The 19,150-nt window shown below is 45.7% G+C and overlaps 1 protein-coding gene across 2 annotated transcripts in view, besides 1 other annotated feature; it reads left to right on the top strand.

Moving 5' to 3' along the window:
- The window catches only part of GOLM1 (golgi membrane protein 1), a 74,004-nt gene that overhangs the window by 36,512 nt on the left and 18,342 nt on the right, over positions 1 to 19,150 (top strand). For both annotated transcript variants that reach the window (NM_177937.3, NM_016548.4), the window contains exons 4-5: positions 11,047 to 11,101; positions 17,066 to 17,168. In NM_177937.3, the coding sequence (NP_808800.1) occupies positions 11,047 to 11,101; positions 17,066 to 17,168 (158 nt within the window). The remainder of the gene's footprint in view (positions 1 to 11,046; positions 11,102 to 17,065; positions 17,169 to 19,150) is intronic.
- Positions 38 to 954: an enhancer, noted in NCBI's record as "H3K27ac-H3K4me1 hESC enhancer chr9:88677599-88678515 (GRCh37/hg19 assembly coordinates)". NCBI's record gives its function as "activates a minimal SCP1, AML or CMV promoter by ChIP-STARR-seq in naive and primed H9 embryonic stem cells {active_cell/tissue: H9 hESC(naive and primed)}" and the evidence as "EXISTENCE:reporter gene assay evidence [ECO:0000049][PMID:30033119]".

Below are 19,150 nucleotides of genomic sequence, written 5' to 3'. Positions count from 1 at the left end.
GATGGGAAATACGTAAAGAAAATAGGAGGTAGCTGTTTTTTCACTTACCGTCTCTGGCAGGGATCTGCAGTCATTCATGTTTAAGAACAAACAGTAAGTAGGGTCTGTTAGGTGCCTTGACTGTGACGCTGTAACCTGTACACTTGGTTCAGTTTTAGTTTCTCTTTCATCCCCAAAGGTCTGTGTACGCCTTTTTACCTGTCTGCAGAAAGTCAGAATGTACAAAAGTGTCTCCTCTTCCGCAGGTGGGAGCAGGGAAGCTGCTAGGATTCCCGTTTGAAAATGGAAACCCCCAGTGCCCTCAGGTGGCTCAGCCCTGGGGTGCCCATTGAGATTGGGAGTCTGCAGCCCCAGGCCTCCAGCCCTTGCACAGGGCATTTCCTGGCTGGTTAAAGAACAGCCAGGGAACGAATATCCAGATTGCTGGTGCTGTGTTGTAATCCGGCATTCTTCTTCCTCTAAAAACGGAGCTGGAGCTTTTCAAGCCCCCGCTCCTGGGTCAAGCCCTGTTGGCAGTGTGTGGGGTGCTCCTCTGGTTCGGCAGCTCCTCCCCTGCCATCTCCTTAAGTGTTCAGGAGTGAGAGCAGCGGGAAGAGCTGAGGGGCAGCTTGGGTGGTGCTGCAGAGGGGACAGACCAGTGTGAGCTGCTTCAGGGGCAGCCAGGTTCCCTGGCAGCTGGGTGATGAGGAGACCTTCAGAAAGATCCAGGGTCAGGGACTAAGAAGACAGGCGCTCGTCCACTGCTAGAGAAGCCTCAAAGTGCATTCTGGGGTTCCCACTGTCCTTCAGGTTTGGATCCTCCTGGAAGTTTTATTTGACCCAAGTCACGTGTAGGTTAGAGGCACAGGGGCAGGCTGCTACCAAAGGAGACAGTGTAGCAGGTTCTCAGAGGCAAGGGCAGCCCCCCCCGTTTGCTTCTCCTCCTTTTTCCTTCCTCCTGCCTCCCCTCCCTCCATCCTTCCTCTTCCTTTCTGTCCCTCCACCCCTCTCCCTTCCTTTGTCCTTTTCCTCCCTCCATCCTCCTCTTGCCCTCCTCCCCTCCAGACCCTGTCTCTCTCCTCTTCCTTCCATCCCTTTCCTCCATCCTACTCTGTCCTCTTTTCTTCCCTCCTCCTCTCCCTCCATTCTCCCTCCTCCTCTTCCTCCCTCCTCCCCCGTCCTCCCTTCCCTCTGTCCTCCTTTCTCTCCCTCTCCTCACCATCCTTTGCTCTCTCCTTCCTCCCCTTCCCCTCCTCCCCATCCTCTCTCCTCCCTCCCCAAAGCACCTGCAGTGTGCCCTGTGCAGGAGATGCTGGGGGAGGGTGTGAGCCAGTCTTGGGTTCAGGCCCCCTCGCCATCAACCCTGTGCTTATGTCTGTGATGGCCACCACACCTCATGGACCTTGTTCTGCCAAGCTGGGCACCCGGGTGACCCCAGGGCGGGTCCTGGGAGCATCCTGCACTCTCCCAGCGAGGTGCTTTCCCACACCCGCCAAGCTGCAAGGTGGATGGGGTGGGAGGATGTTACCTTCCCTGTGACAACACAGGGATGTGTTGGCAGGAGCTATTCTGGGCGTGTAGCAACTGTGTCTGTGTGTCCTACGTGTTTTCCTGGATAGATGGTGTTTTCTGAAGCTTTGTAGAAAGTTACACTTAATCTCCCGACGCCCTTCCATTTAAACTTGGTGACTTGTGCACACTGTCCCATAGCTGCAGGTCCAGACCCGCCTTTCTGCCCATCTGGGTCCCCTGCCCTGAAGCCTCCTCAGCTGCTCTCTGACCAGGATCCTACCATTTACGCTGACATTTGACTCTATCCCCTAAACCTTTAGCCACTCCTCTCCTCCTGTTGGTATTCTCACACTCAGTTCAACTCACACTCACAGACACTCATTCACACTCTGACCCATGCCCCCATATTTGGGTTCCCACTTGAGGTGTCTGTAAGGTGCCCCTTTAAATAAAACTCAGCAGGCCACCCTGCTTAGGTTCCACTTTGGGGAAACAGAGGCACAGAGAAGTTAAACGAAGCGTCCAAAGTCAAGGAGCAAATTAGCAGCAGATCCCAAACCGGATGCCACAGTCTCAGGTCTTCAAGAAAATCTCTCCCATCCCGGTCTTCCCTCTGCTGCCCTCTTTCTCTGTTACTCGTTTTTCTTTTCTTTTTCCTCCCTTTATCCTCATTAGTGAGCTTCGAAGGCCATTTGTCATAGTTGATAATTGTTGATGGAGCTATACTATGAAAAGAAAATTGCTTAATTTTAGGAGTGAAATTACAAATGAGAAATACTGCAGCAAAGACCTGCCCTTCTAAAAGTTCTTGAATCTACCTCAAATTTCTCCAGACAACAGGTTTATCTCAGCATCTTCTAATTCACCTTTCTTTTCCTCTAAAACCAGCCTTGAAGTTAAGATTTTTAAAAAATTGTACTTGGCAGATTTAATTATCAATGTGGCAAGCTTATGTGTGCCTGTGTGTGTTGGCTGATTGTAGAAAACCGTAAACATGAAAAGGTAGACAGAGTGACCCAGTGAGCCCCCACACATCCAGTGCCAAGCTTCAGCGATTACAACTCGTGCCGTTTTAACCATGACTATTTCAGCACACGTCCTGAAAAGGTGGGATTGTCTGTCTCTCATAGCCACAATACCATGATCATACCAAAACATCCAGGAATTCCTCATGTCAAGTATTCAGTGTCAGTCACAACATTTCTGTGTTGTGTAACTTCTTCTTCTTCTTCTTTTTTTTTTTTTTTTTTTTTTTTTTTTTTTTTTTTTTGAGAGAGTTTCGCTCTTGTTGCCCAGGCTGGAGTGCAATGGCACAATCTCGGCTCACCGCAACCTCTGCCTCCCAGGTTCAAGCAATTCTCCTGCCTCAGCCTCCCAAGTAGCTGGGATTACAGGCATGCACCACCACACCCAGTTAATTTTGTATTTTTAGTAGAGACGGGGCTTCTCCATGTTGAGGCTGGTCTGGAACTCCTGACCTCAGGTGATCCACCCGCCTCGGCCTCCCAAAGTGCTGGGATTACAGGCGTGAGCTGCTGCGCCCGGCCTGTGTGTTATGTAACTTCTTAACCCACAAAACATAATCATGTCATCTTTAGGGGCTTGTGGACTGGACTAGTTTCCTCATCACTTTGTGCCCTTGTCCCTATGGGAACATGCATCCAGCGACCCACCATTTGGCTCAGTGGTGGCTGTAGGCATGAAGCATTTGGGAGTCACTGCTTGTCTTGTTGTTTGTGTGTGTGAATGAGTGTGTGAGTGTGTAATCTTAGCAGGATGCCATAAATGACTTGTTTGCAAGTCTCTGCCTCTCTCTCCTTCCCTCTCCCCGCTTTCCCTGTCTCCCTCCCCTTCTCTGTCTCCCTCTTTGCCCCCACCTTCTTATTCCTCTGGAACTTGCTGTCCCTAGCTGCAGGTGGCTGTGAGCACTTAGCATGTCCCAGCTGAGATGTCCTACAAGTGTAAGATATGCTGGAGTGCAAAGATTGAGTGTGAAAATGCCAAATTTCTCAATAATTTTTATGTGGAATACATCTTGCAATGATAATTGGGATACATTAGGGTAAATAAAATATTAATTTCACCTGTTTCTTATTTTTAAAGTTGGGATAAAATTCACATAACATACAATTCATTATTTTAGCCATTTTTTAATGTATCATACATCTCAGTGGTTTGGGTATGTTCACAATGCCATGCAACTATAACCACTGATTCCAAAACTTTTTTTTTTTTTTTTTTTTTTTTGAGATAGACTCACACTGTGTCACCCGGGCTGGAGTGCAGTGTTGCCATCTTGGCTCACTGCAACCTCCACCTCCTGGGTTCAAGTGATTCTCCTGCCTCAGCCTCCCGAGTAGCTGGGATTACAGGGATTACAGGTGCCACCATGCCCAGCTAATTTTTGTATTTTTAGTAGAGACGGGGTTTCAGTATGTTGGCTAGGCTGGTCTCGAACTCCTGACCTCAAGTGATCCACCCACCTCGGCCTCCCAAAGTGTTGGGATTACAGGTGTGAGCCACCACGCCCAGCCAGAACATTTTTATCACCCCACAAAGAAATGTGTACCCATTAAGCAATCACTCCCCATTTCCCTCTTCCCCTAGCCCCTGGCAACCACTAACCTGCTTTCTGTCTCTAGAGATCTGCCTATTCTGGACGTATCATGTAGTATAGAATCATGCAGTACGTGGCCTTTGTTTTGTGTCTGGCTTCTTTCGCTTAGTGTAATGTTTCCAAGCCTCATCCGTGTTGTAGCATGTGTCGGTAATACTTCTCTCCTATGGCTGAACGATAGTCCCTTAGGTGGATATACCATGTTTGCTTTATCTGTTCGCCTGTTGACGGACATTTGGATTGTTACCACTTTTTGGCCTTCATGAATAATTCTGCTGTGAGCATTTGTGGACAGGTTTTCCAGTGGGGATATGTCTTCTTTCTCTTGGGTGTACACCTACAAGTGGGATTGTTGGGTCATATGGTAGCTCTGTGTTGAACTTTTTGAGAAACTGACAGACTTTCACAGGGATTGCATTTTACATTCTTAGCCACTGTGTATTGGGGGGGGGTTCTAGTTTCTCTCCAGCTTTTCCACATTCTTGTCAACACTTGTTATTTTCCTTTTTTATTTTTATTTATTTATTTTTTTGAGACAGAGTCTCACTCTATCACCCAGGCTGGAATGCAATGGCTCAATCTCGGATCACTGCAACTTCCGCCTCCTGGATTCAAGCGATTCTCCCTACCTCAGCCTCCTGAGTAGCTGGGATTACAGGCACCTGCCACCACATCCGGCTAATTTTTGTAGTTTTAGTAGAGATGGGGTTTTGCCATGTTGGCCGGGCTGGTCTTGAACCCCTGACCTCAGGTGATCCGCCCGCCTCGGACTTCCAAAGTGCTGGGATTACAGGCGTGAGCCACCTCGCCCTGGCTATTTTTTTTTTTTTTTTTGAGACAGAGTCTTGCTCTGTTGCCCAGTCTGGAGTGCAGTGGCATGATCTCAGCTCACTGCAACCTCCGCCTCCTATGTTCAAATGATTCCCCTGCCTCACCCTCCCAAGTAGCTGGGACTACAGGCACATACCACCATGCCTGGCTAATTTTTGTATTTTTAGTAGAGACAGAGTTTTGCTGTGTTGGCCAGTTCTGACCTCAAGTGATCCACCTGCCTCGGCCTCCCAAAGTGCTGGGATTACAGGCATGAGCCACCGCGCCTGGCACCTTTTTAAAAATTATAGCCATACTGATAGATGTGAAGTGGTATCTTCTCATTTTGATTTGCATTTCACTAGTGACTAATGAGGTTGAGCATCTTTCATGTACATATTGGCCATTTATGTCTACTTTAGGGAGATGTCTTTGCAAATCTTTTGCCCAACCTGTTTCTTTTTACTTAATTCAATGTGGCTATTAGAAAATTTTTAATTTCCGGGTACAACTGACATTTTATTTCTATTGAATAGCACTGTTTTGGATAGCACCATTTTGAAATTGCTAAGAGGTAAAAAGATTCCAATGAATACTTGATATTCTTCCCTTCATTCTTATGTCATTCCTAGGTTACTAAGATTAACTTTTTCATTCTAAGGTAGTAACAGGAGTAACTCTGAAGCAGTAACAGGAATTTCAGTACAAAGAAGTTTTCCAGGCATCTGATTGCAGAGGGTTGACTTGGATTAGATAAGGGTCCTTTTTAAGGCTGAAAGTTAAGGTGGACTCACGCCCTCAAAGCAGGTTGGTTATTTTAATGAGCCAAAGAAATACAGTAGTTAAGTCACCTTCTGGAGGGGACAGCTGGCTTCAGCCAGGCTCGGTGGACACCCTGGCCCTCTCGGGACAGAGCCGCCAGTCTCCAGTGTTTCTCAGGGATGTGACTGAGGCCCAGGAGGGCCCTGCTTGGCTGTGGGGTGCGCACTGCCCCAGCACCTTCTTGCCCTCCACGCTCACCCAGGGCCGCAGCATGCCTATGGCTCCGCTTCCAGCCGGGAGCCCTGAACACGGGTGTGCAGACCCACCCTAAAGGGTGGCCCAGGCCCCACGCTAGGCAAGGCTGACAAGGAACCGAAGGCAGCATGTGAGGCCTCTCCTGGGAGTGGGGGGTTCTGTTTCCCACAGTGGCCTCAGCTGCACCCCGGCTCGGGTGAGCCCACAGGTGGGAGCCGGGAGGCACTCCTCCCAAACACTCCTCTCAGACCATAAAGCACTCCTGTTTCACTCAAAAAAAAAAAGTCACCTTCTACTTTTTACAGTGTGATCAGCATCCTTCTTCCAAGTGAGTGTTTCAAATATTAGTATTTTTAAAATTAGTCACTACATCTTATTGAGCTTTCATAATGTGATACTTTATTGTAGATTTGTTGCTTTGAAAACTTATGAAATATTGAGCTTATTTTTCTAGGAATCTAATACAGAAAAAGTTTGATCCAAATATACTTGTTTCCCAGAATGGAATGGTCATAATAAATTTGTACATGGGTAATTCACCCAGATTCTTTGAGGTTTAGTTTCCAGTTAATTTCTGGTGGCGCTTATTGCCTCCTTGTCTGTGTTTTTAGGGGACAGCTTACAAACACCAGGAAGTACAGCTACCCCTAAAGTCCCTCTGCACCAAAATGTGAAAAACAACCTGGCTGTTTAGAGTAGAATATATAATTCATTTAAGAACAATTTTGTTGAATTATGGCCCAGCACCATGGCTCAGTCCTGTAATCCCAGTGCTGCAGGAGGCTGAGGCAGGAGGATTACTTGAGGACAGGAGCTGGGGGCTGCAGTGAGCTATGATAGCGCCACTGCACTGCAGCCTGGGCAACAGAGTGAGACTGTCTCTTAAAAAATTTTTTTTTGGCTGGGTGCAGTGCCTCATGCCTGTAATCCCAGCACTTTGAGAGGCCAAGGCGAGCAGATCACGAGGTCAGGAGATTGAGACCATCCTGGCCAACATGGTGAAACCCTGTCTCTACTAAAATAAAAAAAATTAGCCAGGCGTGGTGGCGGGCGCCTGTAGTCCCAGCTACTCAGGAGGCTGAGGCAGGGGAATTGCTTGAACCCGGGAGGTGGAGGTTGCTTTGAGCCAAGATCACGCCACTGCATTCCAGCCTGGGCGACAGGCGAGACTTCGTCTCAAAAAAAAAAAAAAAAAAAATTTAAATAAAAAATAAATAAAAATCATTTTGTCGAACTCAGGGTTTTTTCTTCTTTATAATATGTTGAACCCTGAAAGAAGCTAAGAAGCATTTTCGTAGTTTCCCTGAAAATGATTCAACAAAATTTCTATAAATATAAAATTATATATAAAAGATCTTGATGGCATTTTATGATCCTTTTTTTATTTTCCTAAGTGGAGGCTGTATTTTTCCATGCATAAGTAAGTAGATAGGGGAAGATAACAAAAATATATTTTTTTGGAAGAATAAAGTCACATGGAGACAGAAGTATCTTTAGATATTTCAAATTGCAGTAGTATCTGAACCCTCAGATAGTTGTAAGCACTAATGTGATTTGGGTCGGGAGGGGAGCTAAGGGGAATGGACAGAAAAGGACACATCAAATTGCCATAATTTTCATAGAAATTATTTACCCAGGAGATGTGAAAGATATTATTTACCCAGGAGATCAACTCTGGGGGTAAACACTGTGTAATAATTTAAGTGTTTTTGGTTTGTTTTTGTTTTTTTTACTGTTCGGTTTTCACTCTGATTTCCAGAGGAAACATGGTTTTCACACCGATGCAAGGTGGAAATTTCAGTGTACAGATCAGTGATGTGAAGGATATTCACGCTGTTGTGCAACAGATCTCTAGAAATTAATTCTGCAACCCTGGGTCTCGATGCTCACTAAACACCAATTTCCCTCCCCCCTCTCCTATCCCTGGACAGCCACCTTTCTATTTTGTTTCTGTGGTTTTGATGACTTTAGGTACTTCATATGAATGGAATCCTACAGCATTTGTCCTTCTGTGACTGGCTTATGTTTTCACTTAGTGTAATGTTGTCTGCATTCATCCATGTTGTAGTATGTGTCCGTATTTCCTTCTTTGTAAAGGTAGCATAATATTTCATTGTATGTGTATGCCACATTTTGCTTATCCATTCATTCATCTGTGACCCCCTGGGTTGCATTCGCCTCTTGGTAACTGTGAGTGATGCTGCAGCGAACATGAGAGTGCAGACATCTCTTAGGGATCCTGCTTTAAATGCTTCTGGGTTCATACCCACAAGTGGGGTTGTGGGATCATATGGTAATCTTTTCGCTTTTCACGCAGAGCGAGCTGTTTCCAAGAGTAGCAGGTGCTGCGTAAATCTGATTCCTACTGTGTGGATCCTCCTTTAATTTCCTAGTCTCTCTCCCCGCAAAATCCCTGATGTACAGCATACCTGTACACACCCCTTCGGATTATCTTTCCCTGAGGGATGACTTTTACAGGTATTATCGCCATAACTTCTCTCCTGTTGCCCCAGGAAATGTTCCATATCCTCAGAGCTCCCAAATACCAGATTTGTTTGATGCGATTTCATTTGTGGGCATGCATCCCTGTGTTCATAAACACCTTACTCCAAAAGGCTGTTGTTTGCCTAAGCCTTGTTTCTGTCCAGGCCTGAGAAAACAGGATGGTTGCATAGAAAGGTCCCAGAGGAGGAAGAGGCACTGTGCTTGCCATCGTCCACCACTAAGCAGGAATGGGACACAAATGTGTCTCCACGTTATGGGCAGCATGTCAAGTAATGGATTATTTGCAAACTTTGTGGATGATGACACAGTAAGAAATGTTTGCATTGTGGCCCAGCACACATACATGCTGTATGTGTCTGTCTGTGAGATGGCATTTACCTGTGCAGTGCACTCTGATATTTAATATTCTGTTCCCTGCTTTTTTCAGGCTTTTGTTTGTTTTTAACATTAGGTACAGCCTACTACGTTGGTGTCCTGCTTGGGTTTGTAGCAATTTGGCAAGTAGCTTTGAAGAACTTGCTCTCTGGAGCACACTTGTTGGAGCTGGAGTTTGGCTTTGCCTCTTAGTAGGCGGGTGACCATGAGCCATTTAAGCAGCCAGTGCCTCCGTTTCCCTTTTCCTAAAATGTGATAATACACTACTACCTCACATAACTGTCAAGAAGAATACATGAGGCCGGGCGCAGTGGCTCACGCCTGTAATCCCAGCACTTTGGGAGGCCAAGGCGGCCGAATCACTTGAGGTCAGAAGTTTGAGACCAGCCTGGCCAACATGGTGAAACCCCATCTCTACTCCCAGCTACTTGGGAGGCTGAGGCAGGAGAACTGCTTGAACCCAGGAGGTGGAGGTTGCAGTGAACCGGAGATCGCGCCATTGCACCCCAGCCTGGGCAACAGAGCAAAACTCTGTCTCAAAAAAAAAAAAAAAAAGTCAATGAGTGAGTAGATGTGGGGTGCTTAGAAGAGCTCCTGGCATAAAGTGACTTGTCAGGGCATACTGGCCAGTTGTTACATTGAGCTTGACACTCATTCTTCCTACTTTTCACTTTGTCGTTGTTATCTGGATTCTGTGTGGCTTCTGTCCTCCTCTACTGTTGACTTTCCCAGCATGGTGAGACTGTGTGTGAAACCCTCCAGTTCCTAAGCTTATAGACTCTGTGGACAGGAGAAGGAGGCCAGAAGTTAAAGTGCATCGAGAGGTCTTGTTAGTGGAATGGCCACTGCATTCCCTTTTCTTTTTTAGTCAGCCTGGAATTTGGAGTTTGAGCTCTGAGGCAGGGAGACCTGGGCTGGTGTGGAGTGGAGTGGTGCAGAGTTGTGCAGTTGTGAGCTGGTGTGGTGTAGAGTGGTGTGGTGTGGTGTGGTTTGGTTTGGTGTGTGATGTGTGGTGTATGGTGTTGTGTGGAGCGGTATGTGATGTGTATGGTTTGGTGTGGTGTGTGCAGTAGTGTGTGGTGTGTGTGGAGTGGAGCAGTCTGTGATGCGGTGGGGTATGTGATGTGTGTGGTGTGTGTGGAGTGGTGTGCCGTGTGTGGAGTGGTGTAGCATGGTGTGGTGTGTGTTTTGTAGTGATGTTTGGTGTGGTGTGTGATGTGTGTGTGGAGTGGTGTGGTGTGTGGTGTGTGTGATGTGTGTGTGTGTAGTGTGTGTTTGGTGTGGTTTGGTGTGGAGTGGTGTGTTGTGTGGAGCAGTGTGTAGTGTGGTATGTGATGTGTGTGGTATGGAGTGGTGTGGTGTGATGTGGTTTGGTATGGAATGGTGTGTGGTGTGGTGTGGTTTGGTGTGAAGTGTGTGGTGTGGACTGATGTGTGGTTTGGTGTGTGTGGTGTGGAGTGGTACGTGGTGTGGAGTTGTGGCGTGGTGTAGTGTGGTGTGTGGCCTGCTGTGGTTTGGTGTGGTGTGTGGTGTGGAATGGTGTGTGGTGTGGTCTGGCGTTGTGGTGTGGAGTCATATGGCGTGGTATGTGTGGTGTGGAGTGGTGTGATGTGTGTGGTTTGGTGTGGAGTGGTGGGTGTGGTGTGTGGTTTGGTGTGAATGTGTGGTGTGGAGTGGTGTGTGGTTTGGTGTGGTGTGTGGTGTGGTGTGTGTGGTGTGGAGTTGTGGCATGGTGTAGTGTCGTGTAGAGTGGTGTGTGGTGTGGTCTGGTGGTGTGTGGAGTCATATGGCGTGGTGTTGTGTGGAGTGGTGTGTGTGGTGTGGTTTGGTGTGTCGTGGTGTGGTTTGGTGTGGAGTGCTGTGTGGTGTGGTGCGGTGTGAGGTTGCTGATTAGCCCTCTGGGTGCCCAGAGCCTCTGCTGTGTCGGGCAGGAGGAAGGAGGGCCTGGCTGGCCCTTTCCTGGAGGAGCAGCGTTTCCTGGGCTGGAGTGGGGTCTGGACCCGTTGGCTTTTGCTCGGGTCCAGAGGCGGTGGTGGGGAGCGGATCTCTAGGTCGGCCTGTTCCTTTTCAGCAGCAGACATGGGAGGGCCCAGCCTGAGCGCTGAGTGCGAGCTCCTTCCCTGACAGCAGCGCTGGGTTGGGGACAGGCCCCATCATTGGTTTGTATCACATCTGGCTGTCAGGCTGAGGTGTTGGTTTGGGTGTTTCATGCGAGTTTATCTTCGTTGCAGGCGGTTTTGGTGAATAACATCACCACAGGTGAGAGGCTCATCCGAGTGCTGCAAGGTAAGTTCCGCTCGCTCCTCCACACCAGGCACTGGCCTTTGAGGAGGAAACTCCCTTTCTCTCCTTCTCTAGGCCCAGGTGGGTCTCCATTATAATCTCATGGCGGATAGTGTCATGAGTCATTGAGCAATCTTTATTCTTTTTGCCTAAGTCTATCTCCTTAAGAGGCTTTTCCTTTTAAAAAAAAATATTGCCAAATACATTGCAAGCTGTTAGGTACAGAAGAGTTAAGAGTGTCACTCATGAATGTGTTAAGAGATAGTATTTATGATAGGTACATGTTCTGTTATATATACATATGGTATACATGTGACCTGTTAATTTGGTCATGCTGAATTTAGATTGTCTGCATGAAACTTAGAAAAACTGTCCAGCCCAATTTAATTCCCCCTCTTTGCCGCTCTGACTCAACTTGGCAGCTGGGGATTGGTCTTCCTTTGAGTCCTTCTGAAGCAGCCACAGAGCAGGAAATGGGGTGCTGTCCTTTGTCGGGGGCTCCTTCCACTGTGACAGGAGTGACAGGAGGGTCAGCAGGGTCCATGCTACTGGGCTAAATCATCTGTTGGGTTGAATAATTTTTACTCTAAAAATGTGGTTACTGGGAAGTTAAAAATTCCTTATATGACTTGCATTATAATTCTTTTGGTCATTGCTGGTTTCGAATTCTAGTTCTAAGTCAGGTTCTAAGAATATTAAAAAGTCTTATGTGAAAAGGGGTCACTTTGTGAAATGTGTTTGTGTAACCCTACGTTTCCCACAAAGTTGAAGAGGCTGCCTGGCTGCGGGGGTGGGAGTTGGGGGGTCTCACATAAAGGTTCAGTTTGACAGCGGTTTTGATAGAGCATACATGTCAAGTAACTCCACCAGAGTCAACACAGGGAGCATATTCATCACCCCCAAAAGCTTGCTTGTGCGCCGTGGTGATCCACTTCCCTCAGGCAGCCTCTGGTCTGCCATGTAGACTAGTTTGCATTTTTAATAATTGGGTGCGTGCCCCAGATTCATAAAGCAAGTCCTTAGAGACCTACAAAGAGACTTAGTCTCCCACACAATAATAATGGGAGACTTTAACACCCCACTGTCAACAGTAGACAGATCAACGAGACAGAAAGTTAACAAGGATATCCAGGACTTGAACTCAGCTCTGCACCAAGCAGACCTAATAGACATCTATAGAACTCTCCACCCCAAATCAACAGAATATACATTCTTCTCAGCACCACATCGCATTTATTCCAAAATTGACCACATAGTTGGAAGTAAAGCACTCCTCAGCAAATGTAAAAGAACAGCAATTATAACAAACTGTCTCTCAGACCACAGTGCAATCAAATTAGAACTCAGGATTAAGAAACTCACTCAAAACCGCTCAACTACATGGAAACTGAACAACCTGCTCCTGAATGACTACTGGGTACATAACTAAATGAAGGCAGAAATAAGGATGTTATTTGAAATCAATGAGAACAAAGACACAACATACCAGAATCTCTGGGACACGTTTAAGGCAGTGCATAGAGGGAAATTTATAGCACTAAATGCCCACAAGAGAAAGCAGGAAAGATCTAAAATTGACACCCTAACACCACAATTAAAAGAACTAGAGAAGCAAGAGCAAACACATTCAAAAGCCAGCAGAAGGCAAGAAATAGCTAAGATCAGAGCAGAACTGAAGGAGATGGAGACAAAAGAAACCCTTCAAAAAATCAATGAATCCAGGAGCTGGTTTTTTGAAAAGATCAACAAAATTGATAGACCACTAGCAAGACTAATAAAGAAGAAAGGAGAGAAGAATCAAATACATGCAGTAAAAAATAATAAAGGGGATATCACCACCGATCCCACAGAAATACAAACTACCATCAGAGAATACTATAAACACCTCTATGCAAATAAACTAGAAAATCTAGAAGAAATGGGATAAATTCCTGGACACATACACCCTCCCAAGACTAAACCAGGAAGAAGTTGAATCTCTGAATAGACCAATAACAGGCTCTGAAATTAAGGCAATAATTAATAGCCTACCAACCAAAAAAAGTCCAGGACCAGGCAATTCACAGCCGAATTCTGCCAGAGGTACAAAGAGCTGGTACCATTCCTTCTGAAACTATTCTAATCAATAGAAAAAGAGGGAATCCTCCCTAACTCATTTTGTGAGGCCAGCATCATCCTGATACCAAAGCCTGGCAGAGACACAACAAAAAAAGAGAATTTTAGACCTATATCCCTGATGAACATCGATGCAAAAATCCTCAATAAAATGCCGGCAAACCAAATCCAGCAGCACATCAAAAAGCTTATCCAACACAATCAAGTTGCCTTCATCCCGGGGATGCAAGGCTGGTTCAACATACGCAAATCAGTAAACATAATCCATCATATTAACAGAACCAAAGATAAAAACCACATTGATTATCTCAATAGATGCAGAAAAGGCCTTTGACAAAATTCAACAGCCCTTCATGCTAAAAACTCAATAAACTAGGTATTGATGGGACGTATCTCAAAATAATAAGAGCTATTTATGACAGACCCACAGCCATTATCATACTGAATGGGCAAAAACTGGAAGCATTCCCTTTGAAAACAGGCACAAGACAGGGATGCCCTGTCTCACCACTCCTATTCAACATAGTGTTGGAAGTTCTGGCCAGGGCAGTCAGGCAGGAGAAAGAAATAAAGGGTATTCAATTAGGAAAAGAGGAAGTCAAATTGTCCCTGTTTGCAGATGACATGATTGTATGTTTAGAAAACTCCATTGTCTCAGCTCAAAATCTCCTTAAGCTGATAAGCAACTTCAGCAAAGTCTCAGAATACAAAATCAATGTGCAAAAATCACAAGCATTCCTATACACCAATAACAGACAAACAGCCAAATCATGAGTGAACTCCCATTCACAATTGCTTCAAAGAGAATAAATACCTAGGAATCCAACTTACAAGGGACGTGAAGGACCTCTTCAAGGAGAACTACAAACCACTGCTCAATGAAATAAAAGAGGACACAAACAAATGGAAGAACATTCCATGCTCATGGATAGGAAGAATCAATATTGTGAAAATGGCCATACTGCCCAAGGTAATTTGTAGATTCAATGCCATCCCCATCAAGCTACCAATGCCTTTCTTCACAGAATTGGAAAAAACTACTTTAAAGTTCATATGGAACCAAAAAAGAGCCCACATTGCCGAGACAATCCTAAGCCAAAAGAACAAAGCTGGAGGCATTACGCTACGTGACCTCAAACTGTACTACAAGGCTACAGTAACCAAAGCAGCATGGTACTGGTACCAAAACAGAGATATAGACCATTGGAACAGAACAGAGCCCACAGAAATGATACCACAAATCTACAACCATCTGATCTTTGACAAACCTGACCAAAGAAATGGGGAAAGGATTCCCTATTTAATAAATGGTGCTGGGAAAACTGGCTATCCATATGTAGAAAGCTGAAACTGGATCCCTTCCTTACACCTTATACAAAAATTAATTCAAGATGGATTAAGACTTAAATGTTAGACCTAAAACCATAAAAACTCTAGAAGAAAACTTAGGCAATACCATTCAGGACATAGGCATGGGCAAGGACTTCGTGTCTAAAACACCAAAAGCAATGGCAACAGAAGCCAAAATAGGCAAATGGGATCTAATTAAACTAAAGAGCTTCTGCACAGCAAAAGAAACTACCATCAGAGTGAACAGGCAAGCTACAGAATGGGAGAAAATTTTTGAATCTACCTATCTGACAAAGAGCTAATATCCAGAATCTATAAAGAACTTAAACAAATTTAGAAGAAAAAAATCAAACAACCCCATCAAAAAGTGGGCAAAGCATACGAACAAGCATGTCTCAAAAGAAGATGTTTATGCAGCCAACAGACACATGAAAAAATGCTCATCATCACTGGTCATCAGAGAAATGCAAATCAAAACCACAATGAGATACCATCTCACAGCAGTTTAGAATGACGATCATTAAAAAGTCAGGAAACAACAGGTGCTGGAGAGGATGTGGAGAAATAGGAATGCTTTTACACTGTTGGTGGGAGTGTAAACTAGTTCAACCATTGTGGAAGACAGTGTGGCGATTCCTCAAGGATCTAGAACTAGAAATACCATTTGACCCAGCCATCCCATTACTGGGTATATACCCAAAGGATTATAAATCATGCTATTGTAAAGACACATGCACACGTATGTTTATTGTGGCACTATTCACAATAGTAAAGACATGGAATCAACCCAAATGTCCAACAGTGATAGACTGGATTAAGAAAATGTGGCACATATACACCATGGAATACTATGCAGCCATAAAAATGGATGAGTTTATGTCCTTTGTAGGGACATAGATGAAGCTGGAAACCATCATTCTGAGCAAACTATCACAAGGACAGAAAACCAAACACCGCATGTTCTCAGTCATAGGTGGAAATTGAACAATGAGAACACATGGACACAGGGCAAGGAACATCTGGGGCGTGTCGTGGGGTGGGGGGAGGGGGGAGGGATGGCTTTAAGAGAAATTACCTATTGTAAATGACGAGTTAATGGGTGCAGCACACCAACATGGCACATGTATACATATGTAACAAACCTGCACGTTGTGCACATGTACCCTAGAATTTAAAGTATAATTAAAAAATAATAATAATTGGGTACATGCATACAGATGGAATCAGACCATCTGTTATCATTTTTTGCCTGCCTTTTCTCTCTCAGCATAGTTATTTGCGATTCGTCCATGTCACTGTGATACAAGTCATTCATTTCTTTGACTGCTGAGTTGTATTCCGTTATCTCTTGCCTAGTTGGATTGTGGGGTGTGTTCAGTTACGCATATTAAAGTATCGTTTATATACAAGAACATTTACCCCTCGTGGGTACAGTTGGATAAGTCCTGACAAATAGTCTCGCAGATCACCACTGCAGTCAACATGGCAGCTGCCCACCGCTCCAGGACCCCCCACCCATGCCCTGCGAAGTCACCAGTCCCCTCTCTGTCTAGGCCCAGCACCCACCCAGCTGTTCTCTTCGCCACAGCTTTGTCTCTTGAGGGTGTCACGTGTGTGCTTTTGGGATGAGTCCGTGTTGTGTGTATCGTAATTCACGGAACGCTTCCATTTTATTTCACTTTATTTTCCACCTGAGACTATTGTAGGTCTAGTGTTGTGAGGGCCCACCTTGGGGATGCCTGCATCTGTCCTGGCCTGTCTGTCCTGGCTGTGTCCGGGCCTGGCTGCTGCTGCCGCCCACTGTGGTATCCGCCTGGTGGCTGCCTTCCCCTCTGCCCCAGCTTGGCCCTTTGTCCGCTAGGGCTCTTTTATGAGCCAAGTCATCAGGGCAGCAGGGATGGGGCTGATTAATTTCCTTAAAGAAAGCCGCTCTTTCCCTGATGAGAGTGTTGGTTGATTAAATGGGCACAGGGCCTTGGAGAGTGGCTTGGCTGTGAATAAATGACGAGGGAGGATGCTGGCAGGTAGCCTGGTGGCCGAGGGCAGGGTGTCCAGCAGGAGTGGCTGCTTATCTGACCAAACATCAAAAATCAGTGTTTTACAGATGGAAGGATGAGTCGGCCAGGGATGAGGGCAGGGTGGTGTGTGTGACCTTTGGGGACAGCTCGGGGCTTATGATGTCTACAAAAGAGACAGGCACACAGAAGCTTCCAATATACATTAAAGGCTAGCGGCCAAAAAGGAGATTTAAGAGAGACATTTGGGAAAGGATCAAGACGCAGCTTCTTTCGGCTTGCTGCTCTTGCAGAGCACTCTCCACAGCTGGGGTTTAGTGACTCTGGGGAGGGACTGTGTTTTCAGCTTTTTCTCTCTCCCCTCCTTTGTCCCAATCTGTCCTTGCCCTTTATGGTCTGATGTGTGAGTCTGCCTCTGTCATATTTTGGCTGAATGGCATGACAGCTGTGCCGGTGACCTGTGCAATTCCTTGTCCCCTTGGTGTAGACCAGTTAAAGACCCTGCAGAGGAATTACGGCAGGCTGCAGCAGGATGTCCTCCAGTTTCAGAAGAACCAGACCAACCTGGAGAGGAAGTTCTCCTACGACCTGTGAGTACACCTCAGAGCGCGTGCCACAGTGCAGGGTGCACGGCACCTGGGAGGCGGGGATTAAGCTGAGATGTAACCTCCGATAGAGCATGCACCTTCTGCTCCGTGCGGGACTCTGAGAAAGGCACGGGCCCCTCTAGGATTCATGTCCTACACAAATGCACAAGGAGGCCAGCTCTCAGCAGGAAATGAATTTCTCAGCATGCCTTAAAATGTAACTTAAAACTCTGTAAGGCACAGGTGTACTGGTTAAGTCAACAACATAAAGCTTTAAAAATGTGTTTCATAGGTGCTCATGCGTGAGCTAAATCAAATTCGTTGACTAAAAGACATTTTGGCAAAATATTGATATAGTAATAGTTTATTGCCTGGCGATCACATTGTGGACATTGTTTTCTTCAGACTTTTCAGTGATTTTCCCAATTTTTACAGTGAGAATGGAATACTTTGATAATCAAAACCAAGCAATATTAAACTATTAAAAAGTGAGCTAAGCCCCGCAGGAAGATAGTAAAAGCCAGTTTGCAAGCCAGAGGATAAAGTTGTGTTTATTTTTTCCTCATAAAAACAATATAGCTAACGTGTGGGAAGTTTGGGATTCAGAGAGAACCAACCACCCATGGCCCAGCCCTCATGACTGTCCTTTTCCCTTTGACTTACCTCTCTCCAGTCCATGCCCAAGTTCACATGAATGTTTACTTAATTGCAGTCATCATCAAAAAAATTTAATCATTTTTTTACTTGCGTTATGTACGTGTGTGTGTGTGTGTGTGTATATACTTTTTTTTTTTTTTTCTTGAGCGGAGTCTCGCTGTCCCCCATGCTGGAGTGCAGTGGCACAATCTCAGCTCACTGCAACCTCCATCTCCCAAGTTCAAGCAGTTCTCATGCCTCAGCCTCCTGAGTAGCTGGGACTACAGGTGCCCACCACCACACCCAGCTAATGTTTGTATTTTTTTAGTCGAGATGGAGTTTCACCATGTCAGCCAGGCTGTTCTTGAACGCCTGACCTCAGGTGATCCACCTGCCTTGGCCTCCCAAAGTGCTGGGATTACAGGTGTGAGCCACTGTGCCCGGCCATATTCTTAGTCACAAACATTTTATTTTATTTTATTTTTTGAAACAGAGTCTTGCTCTGTCACCCAGGCTGGAGTGCAGCGGTGCAATCTCAGCTCACTGCAACCTCTGCCTCCCAGGTTCAAGCAGTTCTCCAGCCTCAGCCTCCTGAGTAGCTGGGACTACAGGCGCCCACCACCACGCCCGGGGTTTCTACTAAAACCCTGTCATTGGTCAGGCTGGTCTCAAACTCCTGACCTCATGATCTGCCTGCCTCAGCCTCCCAAAGTGCTGGGATTACACGCATGAGTCACCGCACCCAGCCACAAAAATTTTATTTATAAAAGTAAAATTAGATAGACATGCGATGATAAAAGGGATTTTAAGGATAAAAATATCCATTGCCATAATTTGTCTCCTAAATAATGACAACACATTAGCTATAGCCTCTTTTTTTTTTGAGATGGAGTTTCACAGCTCGTTTCCCAGGCTAGAGTGCAGTGGTACGATCTCAGCTCACTGCAACCTCTGCCTCCCTGGTTCAAGTGATTCTCCTGCCTCAGCCTCCCGAGTAGCTGGGATTATGGGCACGTGCCACCACACCTGGTTAATTTTTGTATTTTTAGTAGAGATGGGGTTTCACCTTGTTGGCTAGGCTGGTCTCGCACACCTGACCTCAAGTGATCTGCTCGTCTTCGCCTCTCAAAGTGCTGGGATTACAGGTGTGAGCTACTGTGCCCGGCCAGCCTCTTATTTTTTAATTTTTAAATTTAAAAAATTACATTACTTGCATTATATTTAAAACATCCGTATAGCTCCTAATTGTCTTAAAAATTACCATTTTGGATTATTTCCTTCTAAAAGGCTCATCTGTAGTTTAGCTTGTTGCTGGGTGTGAATTGTCAAATTGCATTCTGAAAGGATTT

This window comes from Homo sapiens, chromosome 9, assembly GCF_000001405.40.
Source record: "Homo sapiens chromosome 9, GRCh38.p14 Primary Assembly".
Classification (NCBI taxonomy): Eukaryota; Metazoa; Chordata; class Mammalia; order Primates; family Hominidae; genus Homo; species Homo sapiens.
The sequence above is the reverse complement of the archived record's forward strand: the minus strand, read 5'-3'. Positions and strand labels throughout refer to the sequence as shown.